This window comes from Homo sapiens, chromosome 5 (genome assembly GCF_000001405.40).
Source record: "Homo sapiens chromosome 5, GRCh38.p14 Primary Assembly".
Lineage (NCBI taxonomy): Eukaryota > Metazoa > Chordata > Mammalia > Primates > Hominidae > Homo > Homo sapiens.
The window spans coordinates 93,478,002-93,501,685 of NC_000005.10; the positions used below are offsets into that span (position 1 = coordinate 93,478,002).

Sequence of the window (23,684 nt, forward strand, 5' to 3'; positions counted from 1 at the left end):
CTGGAAATGCTGCAATAACAGCATGTACTCAGCTTTTTTAAATGGGAAAGAAGCCAATGCAGCAACTTTTCTGCCCAATTAAAGAGCATTGTCTATAGCAGGCCTACACAACATAAGGCCTGCAGACTGCACACAGCCATGAAGCAATTGTTCATGACCCACCCACAGATTTGGGAAGGGGGAGTAAGTAGAAAGACATACAATATGGAATCTATGTCAGCAATAAGAGAAAAGACTGTTCCACAGACTCCACCTCTCAGTTCACATGTTACAATGACAATGCTAATCTCAGGATGGCAATCAACATGATCTGTCAATCCTCCCAATGAAGACATCCACTGTATCAATGCTGCACTTGTATAAAAACTTACTAAAGGGCAGGTTTTTTGTTGTTTTTTGTTTGTTTGTTTTTTGTTTGTTTTGAGACAGTCTTGCTCTGTCATCCAGGCTGGAGTACGGTGGCACGATCTCGGCTCACTGCAACCTTCGCATCCCAGATTCGAGCAATTATCCTGCTTCAGCCTCCTGAGTAGCTGAGATTACAGGTGTGTGCCACCACGCCTGGCTAATTTTTGTATTTTTAGTAGAGATGGGGTTTCACCATGTTGGTCAGGCTGGTCTCAAACTCCTGACCTTGTGATCCACTCACCTCAGCCTACCAAAGTGCTGGAATTATAGGTGTGAGCCACCGCGCCCAGCCAAAGGAGCAGTTTTATATACTGAACTGAAAATAGGAAAATCCTGTAGCATTCATCTGAAGGTTTATACTATTTGAACAGTTTATAAATATTTATTGATGATCCTCATGTTTTATATTTTCTTATAGAAACTTGTTTTCATTTCTTTCTCTTGTTCCTCCCATTCAATTACCAATGAGTGACTATATAACTCATTCAAACTGGAAAGCTTTTAAGAATGAACGTGGAGGAAAGTGATGTCATGGAAGACAGTAGAGTAGGATCAATCCCTTTACCAAAACAACAGTTGAGTTGACACGAACTGTCATAACCAACTACTTCAGAACTCAAGTCTAGCTGAACATTTGCAGTGTCTAGAGGAGTGCTTGATGAAGAAAGAGACTAGTAAATTTTGGTGAATTTCAGTGTTATGTATAACAACTACTATCCTTAAGCCCTGTGGAAAGCAGCATGGGGACAATGGCCTGTATGCCTGGTGCAATTTGCTGGTGCCAGAGTGAACAACAGGAACCTTCTCTTGAAAAAAAAATTGGGTTTCTGTATTTTGATCCGTTTGGAAGTTCACTGAGGGGCCAGTACAGAGATGGTTCAACCATGATGGGCTGACGCAGCTTCCCAGGCATCAGCTGAAGGAAATTAAAAAGAATATGCTTTACTTTTCTTCTCTTACAAAATCCAGGCATTTAAGAAAAATCTCTGTCAGTGTGCTGACTGACCATGAAGATAACAAAACATAGGCTTCTGGAACCACACATAACAAGGAATATAGTTTTTTCAAAACAATTTGGAAAAGTCACTAAACAAATGAACAACTGCTGCCTTCATCAAACAACAACAACAACCCTTCATGTAGAAGGCAGAATTTGATTTCCAAAATTGCCACATTACGGTATTCAAAATGTCCAGTTCTCAACAAAAAATTATGAAGCACACAAAAAATAGAAAGTATGACCCATTCATGGGGGAAAAAAATGATAAAGACCATTCCTGAGGAAGCCCAGATGTTGAATTTACTAAGCAAAGACTTTAAATTAACTGGCTTAAAGATGCTCAAAGAATTAAAGGAAACCATGAGTAAATAAGTAAATGACATTAGGCAAACTATATATAAAAGAGTAAGAAATATCAATAAAGGAATAGAAATTATTTTTTTTTAAAAAGAACACAGTAGAAATAATGGAGATGAAAAATATAAGAGATTAAATTAAAAATTCAGAAGAGGGGCTCAGGCAAAAGAAATGTTTATCAAACTTGAAGACAGAACAATTATACTTACCCAGTCTTATGAACAGACAAAAAAAATTAATGAAGCAAAATAAACAGAGTCTACAGGACTTATAGGACATCATCAAGTGCACCAACATACACATTATGGGTTACAGAAACAGAAAAGAGAGAAATGAAGAAACATTATCCAAAAACTTCCAAAATTTGATGAAAGATGTGATGCTACACATCCAGGAATCTCAACAAACTCCAAGCAAGACAAACTCAATGAGATCCACACAAAGACACATTATAATCAAACTGCTGATAGACAAAGACAGAGAAAAATCTTGAAATCAGCAAGAGAGAAGGGATTTATCACATACAAGCCATCCTCAATAAGATTAACAACCTATTTTTATGAGAAACTATGGAGGTCAAAAGGGAGTGGAATAAAATATTTAAAATACAGAAAGGGAAAAAATGCCAACAAGGAATTTATATACAGCAAAATACTTCAAAAATGAAGAGGAAATTAAGACACTGCCAGATAAAAGTTCACTGACAGACTTGCTCTACAAGAAATGTTAAAGGAATTCTTCAGGCTGAAATAAAATGATACTAAACAGTAACTTAAAGCCATACAATGAAATAAAAGTCACTGATAAGGTAACTACATAGGTAAATGTAAAACCTAGTATTAATGTATTTTGGGCATGTAATTTCCCTTTTCATTTCCTGTATGATTTAAAACACAAATGCATAAAACAATAATTATAAATATATGTCAATGGGCACATAATGCATAAAGATACAATTTGTGACAGTAACAACATAAAGGGAAGAATGCAGCTGAGTAGGAGCAGAATTAATGTATGCTGCTGAAGTTAAGAACTAGATTGCTATAAATTTAGAATATTAACTGTAATCCCCCATGGTAACCACTAAGAAAATAATTTAAAATATATTGAAAAGGAAATGAAGAGGATGTCAAAATATTATTCTAAAAAATCCAATCAAACACAAAGGAGGCAATATTGGAGAAATTGAGAAACAAAAAAGACATGATATATAGAAAATAAATAGCAAAATGGCAAAAATAAGTTCTTCATGATCAGTTGGCACTATAAGCGTAAATGAATTAAACAAATTAAAAAACAGAGATTGTAGAAAAAATTTTTTAAAAACATGATCCAGCTAGTTGCTGCTTAAAAGAGACCAATTTTAGACCCAAAGATATAATAAGTTAACAATGAAAGGATAGAAAAAAATATTCCATGCAAATAATAACCAAAAGAGAGCCAGGCTGGCTATACTGATATCAGGAAAAAAATGGATTTTACATCAAAAACTATTGCAAAAGACAAAGAAATACATTTTATAAGGATAAAAGGATCCATTCATCAATATGATATAACAATTATAAATGTATACACATCAAACTAGAGAGCCTGAGAATATATAAAGTAAATAGTGACAAAACTGAAGAGAGAAAACAGGCTAGAAGACAGGACAATTATATAATTAGGATAATAATTGGAAACTCTAGAATAATAGTTGGAAACTTCAATAGCCCACTTTTAGTAATGGATAGAACACACAGAAAATAAATAAGGAAATAGACAATTTGAACAACACTATAAAGCAACAAGGCCTAACAGACATATACAGAACACTCTACCAAAAATGGAAGAATATGTATTCTTCTCAAGTTCACATGAAACATTCTCCAGAATAAACCATAATTTAGGCCATAACACAATTTTCAATCGACTTCAAAATATATAAATCACACCAAGTATCTTCTACAACAACAATGAAATGAAGCTAGAAATAAATAAAAGAAGGAAAACTAGAAACTTTTCAAGTTCACAGAAATTAAATAACATATTCTTTAAAAAAAATAGGTTAAGAAAGAAATCACTAGAAAAACAGAAAAATACTTTCAGATAAAATGCAAATGAAAGCACAACATACCAAAATGTATAGGAGGCAGCAAAAGCAGTATCCAGGGGAAATTTTTATAGCTGTAAACACCTATATTTTTAATAAATCTCAAATTAACAACCTAATTTTACACCTTAAGAAACTAGAAAAATAAGTGCAAATTACACCCAAAACAAGCAAAATAAATAATAAAGATTAGAGAAAAGATAAAACAGAAAGGAGAAAAACTATAGAGAAAAATCAATAGGAACAAAAAAAAATGGTTTGTTGATAAAAATCAACTGTAGAAATTATCGGGGTGGCTAGCAAGATGGCCAAATAGGAAAAGCTCTGGTCTACAGCTCCCAGTGAGACTAACACAGGAGGCAGGTGATTTATGCATTTTCAACTGAGGTACCTGACTCATCTCATTGGGACAGGTTAGACGGTGGGTGCAGCCTGCAGAGGATGAGCCGAAGCAGGTGGGGCATCACCTCACCCAGGAAGTGCAAGGGGTCGGTGAACTCCCTCCCCTAGCCAAGGGAAGCTGTGAGGGACTGTGCCATGAGGAACAGTGCACTCCAACTCAGACACTATGCTTTTCCCACGGTCTTCATAACCCACAGACCAGGAGATTCCCTCCAGTGCCTATATCACCAGGGCCCTGGATTTCAAGCACAAAACTGGGCGGCCATTTGGGCAGACACCGAGCTAACTACAGGAGTTTTTTTTTTATACCCCAGTGGAGCCTGGAATGACAGCAAGGCAGAACCATTCACTCCCTTGTAAAGGCGGCTAAAGCCAGAAAGCCAAGTGGTCTAGCTCAGCAGACCCCAGCCCCATGGAGCCAAGCAATCTAAGATCAACCGGCTTGAAATTCTCACTGCAAGCACAGCAGTCTGAAGTCAACCTGGGACGCTCTAGCTTGGTGGAGGGAGAGGCGTCCACCATTACTGAGGCTTGAGTAGGCTCTTTTCCCCTCACAGTGTAAACAAAGCCTCTGGGAAGTTCCAACTGGGCAGAGCCCACTGCAGCATGGCAAAGCCACTGTAGCCAGACTGCCTTTCTAGATTTCCCCTCTCTGGGCAGGGCATCTCTGAAAGAAAGGCAGCAGACCCAATCAGGGGATTATCAAACTCCCATCTCGCTGGGACAGAGCACCTAGGGGAAGGGGCAGCTGTGGGTGCAGCTTCAGCAGACTTAAACGTTCCTGCCTGCTGGCTCTGAAGAGAGCAACAGCTCTCCTAGCACAGCGCTCGATCTCTGCTAAGGGACAGACTGCCTCCTCAAGTTGGTCCCTGACCCCCATGCCTCCTGACTGGGAGATATCTCCCAGCAAGGGTCGACAGACACCTCATACAGGAGCGCTCTGGCTGGGATATGGTGGAAGCCCCTCTGGGACAAAGCTTCCAGAGGAAGGAAAAGGCAGCAATCTTTGCTGTTCTGAAGCCTCTGCTGGTGATCCAGGCAAACAGGGTCTGAAGCAGACCTCCAACAAACTCCAGCAGACCTGCAGCAGAGGGGCCTAACTATTAGAAGGAAAACTAACAAACAGAAAGGAATAGCATCAACATCAACAAAAAGGATGTCCACACAGAAACCCCATCCGAAGGTCACCAACATCAAAGACCAACAGCAGATAAATTCATGAAGATAAGGAAAAAACAGCACAAAAAAGCTGAAAATTCCAAAAACCAGAACGCCTCTTCTCCTCCAAAGGATCACTACTCCTCACCAGCAAGGGAACAAAACTGGACTGAGGATGAGTCTGAAGAACTGACAGAAGTAGACTTCAGAAGGAGGGTAATAACAAACTCCTCTGAGCTAAAGGAGCCTGCTCTAACCCAATGCAAGGAAGCTAAGAACCTTGAAAAAAGGTTAGACGAATTGCTAACTAGAATAACCAGTTTAGAGAAGAACATAAATGACCTGATGGAGCTCAAAAACACAGCATAAGAACTTCGTGAAGCTTACACAATTATCAATAGCCAAGTTGATTAAGCAGAAGAAAGGATATCAGAGATTGAAGATCAACTCAATGAAATAAACTGTGAAGACATGATTAGAGAAAAAAGAATAAAAAGAAATGAACAAAACCTCCAAGAAATATGGGACTATGTGAAAAGACCAAACCTATGTTTGATTGGTGTACCTGCAAGTGATGAGGAGAATGGAACCAAGTTGGAAAACATGCTTCAGGATATTATCCATGAGAACTTCCCCAACCTAGCAAGACAGGCCAACATTCAAATTCAGGAAATACACAGAACATCACAAAGATACTCCTCGAGAAGAGCAACCCCAAGACACATAATTGTCAGATTCACCAAGGTTGAAATGAAGGAAACAATGTTAAGGGCAACCAGAGAGAAAGATCGGGTTACCCACAAAGGGAAGCCCATCAGACTAACAGCGGATCTCTCTGCAGAAACCCTACAAGCCAGAAGAGAGTGGGGGCCAATATTCAACATTCTTAAAGAAAAGAATTTTCCAGCCATAATTTCATATCCAGCCAAACTAAGCTTCATAAGCAAAGGAGAAATAAAATCCTTTACAGACAAGCAAATGCTGAGAGATTTTGTCACCACCAGGCCTGCCTTACAAGAGCTCCTGAAGGAAGCACTAAACATGGAAAGGAAAAACTGGTACCAGCCAATATAAAAACTTACCAAATGGTAAAGACCATTGACACTATGAAGAAACTGCATCAACTAACGAGCAAAATAACCACCTAGCATCATAACGACAGGGTCAAATTCACACAGAACAATATTAACCTTATATGTAAGCAGACTAAATTCCCCTCTTAAAAGACACAGACTGGCAAATTGGATAAAGAGTCAAGACCCATCAATGTGCTGTATTCAGGAGACACATCTCATGGGCAAAGACACACATAGGCTCAAAATAAAGGGATGCAGGAATATTTACCAAGCAAATGGAAAGCAAAAAAAAAAAAAAAAAATGCAGGGGTTGCAATCCTAGTCTCTGATAAAACAGACTTTAAACCAACAAAGATCAAAAGAGACAAAGAAAGGGCATTGCATATTGGTGAAGGAATCAATGCAACAAGAAGAGTTAACTATCCTAAATATATATGCACCCAATACAGGAGTACCTAGATTTGTAAAGCAAGTTCTTAGATACCTACAAAGAGACTTAGAATCCCACACAATAATACTGGGAGACTTTAACACCCCACTGTCAATATTAGACAGATCAACGAGACAGAAAATTAACAAGGATATTCAAGACTTGAACCCAGCTCTGGACCAAGCAGACCTAATAGACACCTACAGAACTCTCCACCCCAAATCAACAGAATATACATTCATCTCAGCACCACATTGCACTTATTCTAAAATTGACCACATAATTGGAAGTAAAACATTCCACAGCAAATGCAAAAAAGTAGAAATCATAACAGTCTTCCAGACCACAGTGCAATCAAATTAGAACTCAGGATTAAGAAACTCACTCAAAACCACACAACTACATGAAAACTGAACAACCTGCTGCTGAATGACTATTCGGTAAATAACAAAATTAAGGCAGAAATAATTAAGTTCTTTGAAACCAATGAGAACAAAGACACAACATACCAGAATCTCTGGGACACAGTTGAAGCAGTGTTTAGAGGGAAATTTATAGCACTAACGCCCTGAGGAGAAAGCAGGAAAGATCTAAAATCGACACCTTAACAACACAATTAAAAGAACTAGAGAAGCAAGAGCAAACACATTCAAAAGCTAGCAGAAGAAAAGAAATAACTAAGATCAGAGCAGAACTGAAGGAGACAGACACATGAAAAACCCTTCAAAAAGTCAATGAATTGACTGTAAACTAGTTCAAACATTGTGGAAGTCAATGTGGTGATTCCTCAGGGATCTAGAACTAGAAATACCATTTGACCCAGCCATCCCATTACTGGGTATATACCCAAAGGACTACAAATCATGCTGCTATAAAGACACATGCACACGTATGTTTATTGCGGCATTATTCACAATAGCAAAGACTTGGAACCAACCCAAATGTCCAACAATGATAGACTGGATTAAGAAAATGTGGCACATATACACCATGGAATACTATGCAGCCATAAAAAATGATGAGTTCATGTCCTTTGTAGGGACATGGATGAAATTGGAAATCATCATTCTCAGTAAACTATCGCAAGAACAAAAAACCAAACACCGCATATTCTCACTCATAGGTGGGAATTGAACAATGAGAACACATGGACACAGGAAGGGGAACATCACACTCTGGGGACTGTTGTGGGGTGGGGGGAGGGGGGAGGGATAGCACTGGGAGATATACCTAATGCTAGATGACGAGTTAGTGGGTGCAGCGCACCAGCATGGCACATGTATACATATGTAACTAACCTGCACATTGTGCACATGTACCCTAAAACTTAAAGTATAATAATAATAAATTAATTAATTTTTTTAAAAAAGTCAGTGAATCCAGGAGCTGTTTTTTTTTAAATATCAACAAAACAGACTGCTAGCCAGACTAATACAGAAGAAAAGAGAGAAGATCAAATATACACAATAAAAAATGATAAAGGTGATATCACCACTGATCCCACAGAAATACAAACTACCATCAGAGAATACTATAAACACCTCTACGCAAATAAACTAGAAAATCTAGAAGAAATGGATAAATTCCTCGACACATACACCCTCCCAAGACTAAACCAGGAAGATGTCGAATCCCTGAAGAAACCAATAACAAGTTCTGAAATTGCAGCAATAATTAATAGCCTACCAACCAAAACAAAAGCCCAGGACCAAACAGATTCACAGCTGAATTCTACCAGAGGTACAAAGAGGGACTGGTACTATTCCTTCTGAAAGTATTCCAAACAATAGAAAAAGAGGGACTCCTCCCTAACTCATTTTATGATGCCAGCATCATCCTGATACCAAAACCTGGCAGAGACACAATACAAAAAAGAAAATTTCAGGCCAATATCCCTGATGAACATCAATGTGAAAATCCTCAATAAAATAATGGCAAACCGAATCTAGCAGCACATCAAAAAGCTTATCCACCACAATAAGTTGGCTTCATCCCTGGGATGCAAGGCTGGTTCAACATATGCAAATCAATAAATGTAATCCATCACATACACAGAACCAATGGCAAAAACCTTATGATTATCTCAACAGATGCTGAAAAGGCCTTTGATAAAATTCAACACCCCTTCACGCTAAAAAGTCTCAATAAACTAGGTACTGATGGGACGTATCTCAAAATAATAAGAGCTATTTATGACAAACCCACAGCCAATATCATACTGAATGGGCAAAAGCTGGAAGCATTCCCTTGGAAAATCGGCACAAGATAAGGATACCCTCTCTCACCACTCCTATTCAACATAGTATTGGAAGTTCTGGCCGCAGCAATCAAGAAAGAGAAAGAAATAAAGGGTATTCAAACAGGAAGAGAGAAAATCAAATTGTCTCTGTTTGCAGATGACATGATTGTATATTTAGAAAACCCCATTGTCTCAGCCCAGAATCTCCTCAAGCTGATAAGCAACTTCAGCAAAGTCTCAGGATACAAAATCAATGTGCAAAAATCACAAGCATTCCTATACACCAATAATAGACAAACAGCCAAATCATGAGTGAACTCCCATTCACAATTGCTACTAAGAGAATAAAATACCTAGGAATACAACTGACAAGGGATGTAAAGGACCTCTTCAAGGAGAACTACAAACCACTGCTCAAGGAAATAAGAGAGGACAGAAACAAATGGAAAAACATTCCATGCTCATGGATAGGAAGAATCAATATCATGAAAATGGCCACAATGCCCAAAGTAATTTATAGATTCAATGCTATCTCCATCAAGCTACCATTGACTTTCTTCACAGAATTGGAAAAAACTACTTTAAACTTGATATGGAACCAAAAAAGAGCCTGTATAGCCAACACAATCCTAAGCACAAAGAAAAAAGCTGGAAGCATCATGCTCCCTGACTTCAAACTATACTACAAGGCTACAGTATTCAAAACAGCATGGTACTGGTACCAAAACATATATAGACCAATGGAACAGAACAGAGGCCTCAGAAATAAGACCACACATCTACAACCATCTGATCTTTGACAAGGTTGACAAAAACAAGCAATGTGGAAAGGATTCCCTATTTAATAAATGGTATTGGGAAAACTGGCTAGCCACATGCAGAAAACTGAAACTGGACCCCTTCCTTACACCTTACACAAAAATTAACTCAACATGGATTAAAGACTTAAATGTAAGACCTAAAACCATAAAAACCCTAGAAGAAAACCTATGCAATATCATTCAGGACATAGGCATGGGAAAAGATTTCATGACTAAAATCAAAAGTAATGGCAACAAAAGCCAAATTTGACAAATGGAATCTAATTAAACTAAAGAGCTTCTGCATAGCAAAAGAAACTATCATCAGAGTAAACAGGCAACCTACAGAATGGGAGAAAATTTTTGCAATCTATCCATCTGATGAAGGGCTAATATCCAGAATCTACAAGGAACTTAAACAAATTTACAAGAAAAAAACAAGCAACCCCATCAAAAAGTGGGCAAAGACTTATGAACAGACACTTCTTAAAAGAAGACATTTATATGCAGCCAACAAACATGTGAAGAAAAGCTCATCATCACTGGTCATTAGAGAAATGCAAATCAAAACTACAATGAGATACCAACCATCTCACGCCAGTTAGAATGGCAATCATTAACATGTCAGGAGACAACAGATGCTGGAGAGAATGTGGAGAAATAGGAAAGCTTTTACACTGCTGGTGGGAGTGTGAATTAGTTCAACCATTGTGGAGGACAGTGTGGCAGTTCCTCAAGGATCTAAAACCAGAAATATCATTTGACCCAGCAATCCCATTACTGGGTATATACCCAAAGTATTTTAAATCATTCTAATATAAAGACACATGCACACATATGTTTATTGCAGCATTGTTCACAATAGCAAAGACTTAGAACCAACCCAAATGTCCATCAATGATAGACTGGATAAAGAAAATGTGGCACATATACACCATGGAATACTATGCAGCCATAAAAAAGGATGAGTTCATGTCCTTTGCAGTGACATGGATGATGCTGGAAACCATCATTCTCAGCAAACTAACACAGGAACAGAAAACCAAACACCACATATTCTCACTCATAAGTGGGAGTTGAACAATGAGAACACATGGACACAGTGGGGGAACATCACACAGTGGGGCCTGTTGGAGGGTGGAGGACTATGGAAGGGATAGCATTAGGAGAAATACCTAATGTAGATGACGGGTTAAAGGGTGCAGCAAACCACCATGGCAAGTGTATGTAACAAACCTGCATGTTCTGCACATGTATCACAGAACTTGAGTATAATTTAAAAAAAAAAAAAGAAATTACCACAGCCACCCTAAACCTTCAGCAACCACCACCCTGATCAGTCAGCAGCCATCAACATCTAGGAAAGACCCTCCACCGGCAAAAAGACTACAACTTGCTAAAGTCTCAGATGATCATTAGCATTTTTTAGGAGGAAGGTATTTTTAATTAAGGTATATATATATATATATTTTTAGGCATAATGCTATTGCACAAAATAGACTACAGTATAATGAAAACATAACTTTTATATGTACTGGGAAATCTAAAAATGTAAGTGACTTCCTTTATTACGGTGGTTCGGTACCAAATCTGCAGTATTTCTGAGGTATGCCTGTATTTGAAGAGCTGACTAGAGAAAAGTTTCTGAGAAACACAAAGCCACAATAGAAGTGAGACAGCCTAATTTAATAAAATTAAAAGAAACCTCTAAAAAGCACTATGCCTTTGCTCAAAAAAGCCATTTGTTTGCTAGTGTGAGTTCTGATAAAGACCAAATCCTGTCTCAAGTACATGTTTGGGGCTTGTGTTGAAGTTCTCTAAGGGCAGTTTAACCGCGGTAAGAGATCACATCTTGCATTCCAATTTGTATTAATTAATATACAATTCTTAAAATGATGGGATAGTCAGATGTTTGGTCTAGATCTTCCCAGTTGCTCGTGATTTTATGTTCCTGCAAATATAATCTGCACTCTTCTGAAAAAGGAAAATGAAAGAGGATGGGTGACTCTCAGTCAATCCATGTGACTTCTGGATGAGGACCTGTGAAATGGAGAAAATTGGATTTCCAGAACTGGCCCTTCCACCACTCCCTTCAGATCCAGATTGAGCATATGTGTTACTTGGTGCAATTATTGTTATAAACATGATTCTTGCTTGTTAAATAAATGAATAGAATGTTATAAAGATGATTCTAGCTTGTTAGTTACAGAAAACTAGACAATGTAAACTGTACATGTATAAATAAGTTATTGCCCTTTAAATGTCAAATACCCCATTTCTCCTTCTCTTGTTTTTTGAGCTTTCCCTAATTAGACAGACTCATAGTTTTCATTAAGAAGTTCAGTAAATAAATATTTGGGCTATCTACTATGTGTAAACTGTCACAAAAACTTTTAGAAACAAGCCAGAAATCCATATGGATGAGAAGAAAGGGAGGTGGTAATGACGGTGGTGGTGGTGGTGGTCATGGTGATGATGGGAGTGGTGGTGGTGGTAGTGGTGATAGGGGTAGTGGCGGTGGCAGTGGTGGTGGTCTTGGTAATGGTGGTGTTGATGGTCATTGTGGTTATGGTGGCAGTGGTGGTGGTGGTCATGGTGGTGATGGGAGTGGTGGTGGTGGTGGTGATGGTGGTGGTGGCGGTGGCAGTGGTGGTGGTGGTGGTGGTGGTTGTTCCTGGTAATGGTGTTGATGGTGGTTGTAGTCATGGTGGTGATGGGAGTGGTGCTGGTGGTAGTGATAGCAATGGTGGTGGTGGTTGTTCCTGGTAATGGTGGCATTGATGGTGGTTGTAGTCATGCTGGTGATGAGAGTGGTGGTGGTAGTCCTGGTAATGGTGGTATTTATGGTGGTTGTGGTTATGGTAGTGGTGGTGGTGGTGGTGCAGTGGTGGTGGTTGACTTGGTAATGGTGGTGTTGATAGTCATTGTGGTTGTGGTAGTGGTGGTGGTGATGGGAGTGGTGGTGATGGTGGTGGTGGGAGTGGTGGTGGTGGTGGTGGTTGTTCCTGGTAATGGTGTTGACGGTGGTTATAGTCATGGTGGTGATGGGAGTGGTGGTGGTGGTAGTGATAGCTGTGGTGGTGGTGGTGGCGGTGGTGGTCGTTCCTGGTAATAGTGGTGTTGATGGTGGTTGTAGTCATGCTGGTGATGAGAGTGGTGGTGGTGGTAGTCCCGGTAATGGTGGTGTTTATGGTGGTTGTGGTTATGGTAGTGGTGGTGGTGGCAGTGGTGGTGGTTGTTCCCGGTAATGGTGGTATTGATGGAGGTTGTAGTTATGGTGGTAGTGGTGGTCGTGGTGGTGGTGGTGGTCATGGTGGTGATAAGAGTGGTAGTGTTGGTGGTGGTAGTTGTCCTGGTAATGGTGGTATTGATGAAGGTTGTGGTTATGGTGGTAGTGGTGATGGTGGGGGGGTGGTGGTGCTGGTGGTGGTGGTGATGGCCGTGGTCCTAGCTAAAGTGATAACAGAATGAAGTTCTGGAAACCAAAATTTTTTTTTAAATGAACTGTAATGATTAATTTTTTTGTGTCACCTTTACTGGGCTAAGGGATTCTCAGATAGCTAGAAAAACATTATTCTGGGTGTGTCTGTGAGAGTGTGTCCAGAAGAGATTAGCATTTTAATCAGTTAACAAAGGAAAGAAGATCTGCCCTAATCAATATGGGCAGGTATCTTCCAATCTACTAAAGACGCAAATTGAAGAAAAAGGTGGGAGAGCAAATGTTCTCTCTCTTCTCAAGCTAGGACATTCATCTTCTCCTACCCTTGGACATCAAGGCTCCTGGTTCTTGGGCCTTCAAACTCCATGACTTATACTGGTAGCCTCCCCAGTTCTCAGGCCCTTGGCCTCAGACTTGGAGTTACACCATCAGCTCCCTGGTTCTCAGGCCTTCAGACTCTTGACTGAATTGTACCACGGGCTTTCTTCGTTATCCAGCATGCAGACAGTATATTATAGGACCTCTTGGCTTCCATAATCACATAAGCCAATTCCCATAATAAATCTCCTCTTATCCATCTATATATATCCTATTGGTTCTGTTTCTCTGGAGAACCCTGACTAATACATCAACTAAACCAACAAACTTTTAGCCCCACTGATTATAAAAAAAGAAAGATGAAAATAACTAAAATCTGACAAGAAAGCAGAGATATTAGTATTGACCTTTACAGAAACTAAAAGAATTATAAGAGAATACTTGGAACTATTTACACCAACAAATTAGGTAATCTAGATGTATGGACAAATTCCTAGAAACACATAAATTATCAAAACTGATTTAAGAAGTAAAAAATCTTAACAGATCTAAAGAAAAAACCTTAACAGACAGACTCAGTATTCAAAAACCTCCCAACAAAGAAAAGTCTGTGCTACATGGCTTCACTGTTTGTTTTTTGAGCTAATTAGATAGACTCACAGTTTTCATCAAGAAGTTCAGTAAATAAATACACCAAACACTTAAATAAGAATTAATTCTACCAAACACTAAATTCTACCAAACACTAAAATAAGAATTAACACCATTCCTTCTCAAACTTTTCCAATAAAGCAGGAGAGGGAACACTTCCTAACACATTTTGTGAGATCAGCATTACTCTGATACTAAAGTCAAAGACCTCAAAAGAAAACTATAACTCAATATCCCTTATTAACACAGATGTAAAATTCTGCAACAAAATACTGGCAAACCAAATCCAACAGCATATTTTAAAAACACATACACCACGACCAAATGAAGTGTAACTCATGAATGCAAGTGTGGTTGAACATATGAAAATCAATTAATATAATGCACCACATTAAGGGGATGGAGTAACATATTACATGATTATCTCAATACATGCAGAAGGAGTATTTGACAAAATTCTATATCATTTCATGATAAAAAAAAAAAACACTCACAAACTAGGAGAGAAAAGAATTTCTTTAATACGATAAAGGGCACTTATGAAAAACCCATAGCTAACATTATGCTCAATGGTGAAAGAATGAAAGCTTTCCCCTAAGATCAGGAAGAAAACATGATGCCTGCTTTGACCACTGCTATTTGACACTGTACTGGAAGTTCTAATCAAAGGAATGATTCCAGAAAAAGAAATAAAAGGCATCCAAATTTATGACACCTTTAGAAGTACAAATAAATAAAACTACTTCTATTTGCAGATGACAAAATTCCATAGAATCAATCCACAAAAAACCTACTAGTGCTAATAAGCAAATTCAGCAAACTTGCAGGGTATAAGATCAACACACAAAAATCAGTTGTGTTTTATACAGCAGCAATGAACAAACTGAAAAGGAAATTAAAAACAATTCCATTTACAATAGCACCCAAAAGAATAAAATACCCAGGAATACATTTAACCAAGGAAGTGAAAGACATACACTGTATGTCTTTTATTGTGTAATACACAATAAAACATCGCTGAAAGAAACTTTAAAAGACCTAAATAAGTGAAACTATTTCCCATGTTCATGAATTGTAAGACTTAATATTGTTCAGATAACAATATTACCCAAATCAATCTACAGTTCCTCAAATTCATATGGAACTGTACAGAACCCCAAATAGCCAAAACAATATTTCAAAAGTAACATATGGTTGGAAGACTCAAAATTCCCAATTTCAAAACTTACTACATAGCTAAAATAACCCAAGCAGTATGGTATTGGCATAATAATAGATATATAGAACAACAGAATAAAACTGAGAGTCCAGAAATAAACCCAAACATCTATGGTCAATTGATTTTTGACAAGGGTGCCAAGGCCATTCAACAGAGAAAGAAGAGTCTCTTCAACAAATGATGCAGGAACAAATGTATAACCACAAACAATAAAGTTGGACTCCTACCTCACTCCTTATTAAAAGAAAAAAAAACCTCCAAATGGATCAATTACCTAAATATGAAAGCTACAATTATAGGACTATTAAAGAAACCATACACTTAAATCTTCATGACTTTAGATTTGGTAATGGATTCCTAAACTTTCACAAAAGAATGAGCAATAAAAGTAAAAACAGATATGTTGGACTTCATAAAAATTAAAATATTTGTGTATCAAAGGATATTACAGAATGGGAAAAAAATTTTGCAATTATATCTGATAAGAAATTAATATCCCTTAAATTATACCTGATAAAGGATTAATATGCAGAATACATAAAGAACCATTACAACTCAACAACAAACAGATAAGCAATCCAAATTTTTAAATGGGCAAAGGAGCTGAATAGGCATTTCTCCAAAAGAGATATATAGATCTCTAGTAAGCACATGAAAAGATGTTCAACATCACTGGTCATTAAGGAAAATGCAGAATGAGATGCCATTTCACACCCATTAGGATACCTTTAATCAAAAAAATAAAAAATGTTGGCAAGAGCCAGCCATAGTGGCTCACGCCTGTAATCTGAGCACTATTGGGAGGGCACTTTGGGATGATCACTTGAGCCCAGCAGTTCAAGACCACCAGCCTGGTCAACATGGGAAACTGTATCTACTAAAAATATAAAAATTAACCAGGAATGGTGGTGTGTGCCTGTAATCCAAGGCTCAAGAATCACTTGAACCCAGGAGGTGAAGGTTGCAGTGAGCCAAAATCACGCCACTGCACTCCAGCCTGGGCACCAGAGCAAGACTCCATCTCAAAAGAAGAAAAAGTTGGCAACGATGTATAGAAATAAGAACCCTGGTAACTTCCTGGTAGGCACGTAAAATGGTGCAGCTGCTGTGGAAAACAGTTTGGCTGTTCCTCAAAAAGTTAAACACAGAATTACCATCTGACTAAGAGAAATGAAAAGATGTCCACACAAAAACTTGCACATGAATGTTTATAGCAGTATTATTCATAACAGCAAAAAAGTGAAAACAGCTCAAATGCCCATCAGTGGATAATCAGATAAACAAATTGTGGTATTGGGGTGTGTGTGTGTAAGTGTGTCAAAAATATGCCAAGTGAAAGAAAGTAGAACAACAGGTCACATATTGTATGGTTCCATTTATATGATATATCCAGAATAAGCAAATCCATAGCAATAGACAGCAGATTAGCAGATAACAAACAAGAAAAATTCCTTCTACATGACAAAAAAAATCCAAGATAGAATCAGCATTTATTATATAAATAACTACTTATACAATTTGGTGTGGTTTTCTTTGATTCTTTCAAACATCATGCATTTTGCAAATAATGACATTATACTTACATGGATTTAAGCTAAAATCTCCATAGGGTTTACATACATGTGGCTGTTCTTTTCCGTACTTTATTCTGTTTTATTTTAGTCTCTTGGGTTTACATACATGTGGTTGTTCTTTTCCATACTTTATTCTGTTTTATTTTAGTCTCTTGTCTGATGCTTGATTTTTGTCTTTTCTCATTAAGAAAAAGAAAGTAGAATTGTATGTCCAAATCTAGCATTAAATTACAATTCTTTTACTGAGAAAATAAGACCAAGCACAAAGGGAAAATGCAAATAGAGAGAGAACCTCTCCAAAATTCTAATTAAGCTGCAAGCCATAAAAGTGTGCAGTTTCCATAATGAAACCTAAATGTTTACAGATTTTTCATCAAAAGACAAATGACCAGGTTTTAGCCTTGACCGTGTAATGGAGATAAGTTAAGAATCTGAAGATAATACCTACTGTTTTACTCTATTTGGAAAAAAAAATTGGACCTCAAAGTTTTGAATCTTTAACATAAATACATGTACTTTATAAAATTTTAATAAGGTACTATTTATATATACAAACATGATTTGTATATCATATACACAAATATGATGATTTGTATATCATATACACAAATATGATGAAGAGGAAATTATTTCCTCTTAAAATTAGATGTCCACTAACATCACTAGTTATCGCTTATTTTAGAAATGCTCTCGTCAAATTTTCTGAATTTATGCTATAACTTTAAAAGCAGGAAAAAAATGTTTTGTGGATACTACAAACTAAGTAGAATGTATATTCTCAAAACTGTTATGGAAGATAGATGGTATTATTACCATACATACCTATGATTTGAACATAAAGAGAAAACTCAATACCACTATGATGTAATATTAGAAGGAAAAAATGAATTACCTCTCCAAGACTTAGTATCTATTCTTCCAATATCATTGTTAGAGGTCCTACAAGTAAATAAAATCAAAGTGAAATGTATAAGAAACTTTCAATTCCTTTATTCATTCATAGATCAGATAGTAATATAAAATAAACAAAAAACCCACATTTCATCTACCTTTGTCTGTATGTAAATAATTAGCAAAGTATTCTAGCTGCTTACGTCTTGCTTTGCTCAAGCAGGCTTGTCTGTGAGGGAAAGAAACTGCTGTGTTGTCAATATTAGTGAACCACATCCTATAAACTCTAGAGTCCAGGGAAAATATATATTGGCAAGAAGTCTATTCAAAAAATCAGCATGTGAGACACGGCATAGCTTGGCCCTTGTAGAAGGACACACCCTCTTTTTGTCAGAATTGCTTCTATTCAGGGACTTCTGTCATAATTTCCTTCTCCCTCTACCATGTCTTCTTACCTTGGATATTATGAAATAGGCATCCTTTTTAATTTATACATTATGAAAACTATTTTCACTGTTAAACAAATAAACATGTTTTCTACATCTATTTGTTCATGAGTTGAAAACAAAGAAATACAGGTGTTTCCAATGTCTTCCTGGCTTTGCCATATAAAGTAACTGCTCCCAGCCATTCTTAATTTACATACCACAATTTTTGTGATTATTTTTTCTCTTGTTGCTCTTGTTAATTGATATTCATATTTGGTATCTCAAAGCATAACAACTTTTCTCCTGAATCTAATCCTTTTATAGGAGTCAGCATTCTTGGATGTATAATAAAGAGACGGTCACATCTTTGCCAGCAAAAGAAAGAATCCATGCAGCTACACAGGTCACTTTCTAAGTGTTTGCTTTAGCCTCCTTTTTACTGTGAATACAGAAAACATCTGCATTCAATGGTTCCGACTTTCAATAAGGCAGCCTGCATGCAGAGAAAGCTGAATGAGAAGAAACCCAAAGACTCAAACACTGTCCAAATGAGTGGACTTCTAAAATATAACCCTTTCTCAAATTTTTGTAATACATTCAGTAAAGGCCTTTTTTTTTTCAGTTAATTCCTCCATATGCTTCAGTGATTAGTAGTAACTTTATCTTGTCATTCCCATAGACTATGATAGAAACAAAATAACCCAAAAGCTAGCTTTCTGATTGAGTTTCCATAAATGCAATGTGAAGGACGTGCATGAAGAATGCGGAAGCAGGAAATGACTTGGAGAGCAATGGAGATATTACGCTGTGTTTGTTTAAGTTGCTGTGTGAAAGGCAAATCTTCCCACTCCCCTCATCACCACAGCTGTGATTAAAACTCTGGCTGGCTGAAACCAAATATAAGGTTGTGTTCTCTTCACCCAGCTGTCAATCTTTCCATTAGCTGGTTTACAGGTTGTGAGAAAAGACATGCTCCGGTTTTCAACATGTGGATGAAAGGTCCTACTTTGGTAAATTCAATTAGATGGAAAATTGAGCTTTCTGTCTTAATTTCAACTCATCATGGAACAGTGACAACTACAGGACCTGGAATTATCTCGTTGAACCCTGTTTTTTCTTATTAGTTGATGTATATTTTATTGTTGCTACCTATAAATTCATATTTAAGTTTATATACTATCCTCAAAGTATACTTAATGTAATAAATATGCATAAACCCAGGTTGATGTAACTTTGACACAGATGACATAATAAATATATGAAGAAAAACGATGGCAAATGCCATAGCCTGAAATATCAGAAGTCAAAGTTAAGATTCTCATTAGCTTTCATGCATTCCTCATGTTTTCATTAAACATGTCCATAAATGCCTAGAACTGCATGAATTCATCATCGGAATCAAGGGTCAATTATAAAACATCTCATTTTCAAGTTTGCCAATCAATGCACAGCTTTAAATAGCACATATACCGTTTTGGCACTGGGTTTTCTCCATGCTCTTTTATAAAATAAATGAAGAAGTATTATGCCTCAAAGTTTCTTAGAGAATAAGTCTTATGGCCAGGCACAGTGGCTCATGCCTGTAATCCCAGCACTTTAGGAGGCCAAGGAAAGAGGGTTACTTGAGGCCAGGAATTTGAGACCAGCCTGGGCAACACAGTGAGACTCAGTCCCTACAAAAGAAATAATAAATAAATAAATAAATTTTAAAACAGAATAAGTCTTACAACCAAAAGATAATAATAATAATAATATATTTTGGGAGGTTCTGAAAATTAACTTTCCTTGGAACCACTTAGTCTAAAGAAAGATTTAATAGTCTTTCTTGCCTTGTTTTTTCCTCTAGCTAAAACATTTTATATGATAAAGCTAGCAAAAACAAATAGGAATAAAATTACTATCAGTTTTACCTAAGGAAACTTAAAAGTGGCCAATTTTTCTCATACTTTTACAAAATTCTTACTTCTGGCTCAAAGTTGCAAGTAAATGTGTCATCCTCAAAGAAGAATTTTTCTGAAAGCTAAACTATGACTTATACACTTCCAAGCTATTTACTTCATATCAATATTGCTTCTATATTCAAACTCGCAGAACAGCACAAAGAAAAAAATCTAGTTGAAATTTATAAAATACAAAGGTTCCTCTATGGCATCCCAATACTAGATGCAGTTTCAATGAAACATCTATACTGCAAATAGAGGAGGCACATAAAAGAAAGCAACAGGGAAGACACAAGTTAGAAGAGAACACAAGTAAAAGAAACACAAAATCAAATAGGAATAAATGTAACTGGATAAAGGCTCTTCAGAGGCTGAGAAACTACCCTGATCTACGAATCTGCACCAGCATCCACAAATTGTACTTAATTTTTTCTATTTTATTAAAAAGAATTTATATTCACCATAATGTTGTCTAAAAGCCTTGTAATTATATGTATTACCCTTATGAAAGAAGCACTAAGATCAGTTGACCTAGGTTCCTCTACATAAATTTATTTTGATTTAGAGAAAAAATAAAAAGGAAAAGCAAGGCAGAGAGGAGAAAAAAGGATGAGAATATGCTATTCTATTCAGAATAACTGAATAATACTGTAAAATAACTATTACAGAAAATCAGTAATCTTTTCATGTGAAAGAAAGGGAAAAGATTTGGTAAGAAATGTCATAATTTTAATTATAAGATACATCCTTTAAAATTGTTTCAAATATGTGAATGTGTGTGTGTTCCTTCAGCCAATTAACTACAGAAAACGGTGACACATGGGTGACAGAAGTACAGGCATATCTCACTTTACTGTGCTTCACTTTACTGAGCTTTACAGATACTGCTTTTACAAACTGAAGATTTGTGGCAACCCTGCATCGATCAAGTCTATCAGCACTATTTTTCCAACAGCATATGCTCACTTTGTGTCTCTGGGTCACAATTTGGTAATTCTCACAATATTTCCAACTTTTTCATTATTACTGTATCTGGTATGGTGATCTGTGATCAGTGATCTTTGATGTTACTATTGTCATTGTTTGAGGCACCACGGACCATGCCCATAAGCAAACTTAATAAATGTACACATTCTGACTGCTCCACCAACCAGCAGTTCCTCTATCTGTTTCTCTCTCCTTGGGCCTCCCTATTCCCAGACACAACATATTGAAATTGGGCCAATGAATAACCCTACAATGGCCTCTAAATATTGCAGTGAAAGGAAGAGTCTCACATCTCTCACCAGACAGGACAAAAGCTAGGCCTCTTGTGCCAAACAGCCAAGTTACGAATGTAAAGTAAAAGTTTTTGAAGGAAATTAAAAGTGCTACTCCTGTGAACACATGAATGATAAGAAAGCAAAACAGCCTTATTGCTGATGCAGAGAAAGCTTTAGGGGCCTGGATAGAAGATCAAACCAGCTACAGCATTCCCTTAAGCCAAAACCTAATCCACATCAAGAATCCAATTTTCTTCAATTCTATGAAGGCTAAGAGAGGTGAAGAAGCTGCGAAAGAAAGATTGGGAGCTAGCAGAGGTTGGTTCACGAGGTTTAACGAAAGAAGCCATCTCCAGAACAAAAAAGCACAAGATGAAGCAGCAAGTGCTGATGTAGAAGCTGCAGCAAGTTATCCAAAGATCTAGCTAAGATCACTGACAAAGATGGCTACACCAAACAACATATTTTCAATGTAGATGAAACAGCCTTCGGTTGAAAGAAGATGACACCTAGGCTTTCACAGCTATAGAGGAGAGGTCAATGCCTGACTTTAAAGCTTCAAAGGACAGGCTGACTCTTGCTAGGGGCTAATGCAGCTGGTGACTTTAGGTTGGAGCCAATGCTCATTTGCTATTCCAAAACACTGGGGCCCTTAAGAATTATGCTAAATCTTTTGTGCCTGTGCTCTATAAATGGAACAACAAAACTTAGATGACAGTACATCTGTTTACTGCATGTTTTACTGAATATTTTAAGCCTTTCAATGAGACCCATTGCTCAGGGGAAAAAAAAAAAGATTCCTCTCAAAATAGTACTGCTCATTAACAATGCACCTGATCACCCAAGAGCTCTGATGGAGATGACAAAAAGATTCACATTGTTTTCTTGACTGCTAATACAACATCCATTCTGCAGCCCATAGATCAAGGAGTAATTTTGACTTTCAAGTCTTACTAAATTTTTTTTTCTTGAAACAGGGTCTTGCTCTGTTGCCCAGGCTGGAATATGCTGGCACAATCTCAGCTCACTACAACCTCTGCCTCCCAGGTTCAAGAGATTCTAGTGCCTCAAAGCCTCCTGAGTAGCTGGGACTACAGGTGTGTGCCACCATGCCCAGCAAATTTTTTGTATTTTTTGTACAGAACTCCTGTACTCCTGAGCTCAGGCAATCTGCCTGCCTCGGCCTCCCAAAGTGATAGGATTACAGTGTGAGCCACCTGCGCCCTACCTCAAGTCTTATTAATTAAAAAATACATTTTGTAAGGCCATACCTGTCATAGATAGCGATTCCTCTGATGGATCTGGGCAAAGTCAATTGAAAGCCTTCTGGAAAAGATTTCTCATTCTAGATGCTATTAAAACATCCATGTTTCATAAAAGGAGATCAAAATATCAACATGAGCAGGAGTTTGGAAGAAGTTGATTCCAAGCCTCATGGATGACTGAGGGGTTCAAGATGTCAGTGGAAGAAATAACTGCATGTATGACAGAAATAGCAAAAGAACTATAATTAGAAGTAGAGCCTAAAGATGTGACTGAATTGCTGTAATCTTACGATAAAACTTTTAAAAATGAGGAGTTGCTTCTCATGAATGAGCAAAGAAAGTGAGTTGTTTTTTTTTTTAGTAAGGTTTTTGTTGTTGTTGTTGTTGTTGTTGTTGTTTGGGGGAATTTTTTTTTTTTTTTGAGACAGGTTCTTGCTCTTTCACCCAGGCTGGAGTGCAGTGGTGCAATCTGGGCTCACAGCAACCTCCGTGTCCTGGGTTCAAGTGATTCTCCTGCCTCAGCCTCCTGAGTAGCTAGGATTACAGGTGTCCACCACCATACCCAGCTAATTTTTGTATTTTTAGTAGAGACTGAGTTTCACTATGTTGTCCAGGCTGGTCTCGAACTCCTGACCTCAAGTGATCCACCTGTCTCTGCCTCCCAAAGTGCTGAGATTACAGGTATGAGCCACCATACCCTGCCAAAAGTGGTTTTCTGAAATAGAATCTACTTCT

The 23,684-nt window shown here is 37.4% G+C and overlaps 1 long non-coding RNA gene across 47 annotated transcripts in view; it reads right to left on the reverse strand.

Moving 5' to 3' along the window:
• The window catches only part of NR2F1-AS1 (NR2F1 regulatory antisense RNA 1), a 176,234-nt gene that overhangs the window by 68,646 nt on the left and 83,904 nt on the right, over positions 1–23,684 (reverse strand). For 3 of the 47 annotated variants that reach the window (NR_186222.1, NR_186187.1, NR_109825.2), the window contains one exon: positions 18,056–18,102. The exons of 41 other annotated variants lie outside the window; for them this stretch is intronic. This is a non-coding gene — a long non-coding RNA (NR2F1 regulatory antisense RNA 1). Of the gene's footprint in view, positions 1–18,055; positions 18,103–22,955; positions 23,160–23,684 lie in introns of all 47 variants that reach the window. 3 more of the 47 variants (NR_197198.1, NR_186200.1, NR_186201.1) reach the window with 2 other exon arrangements.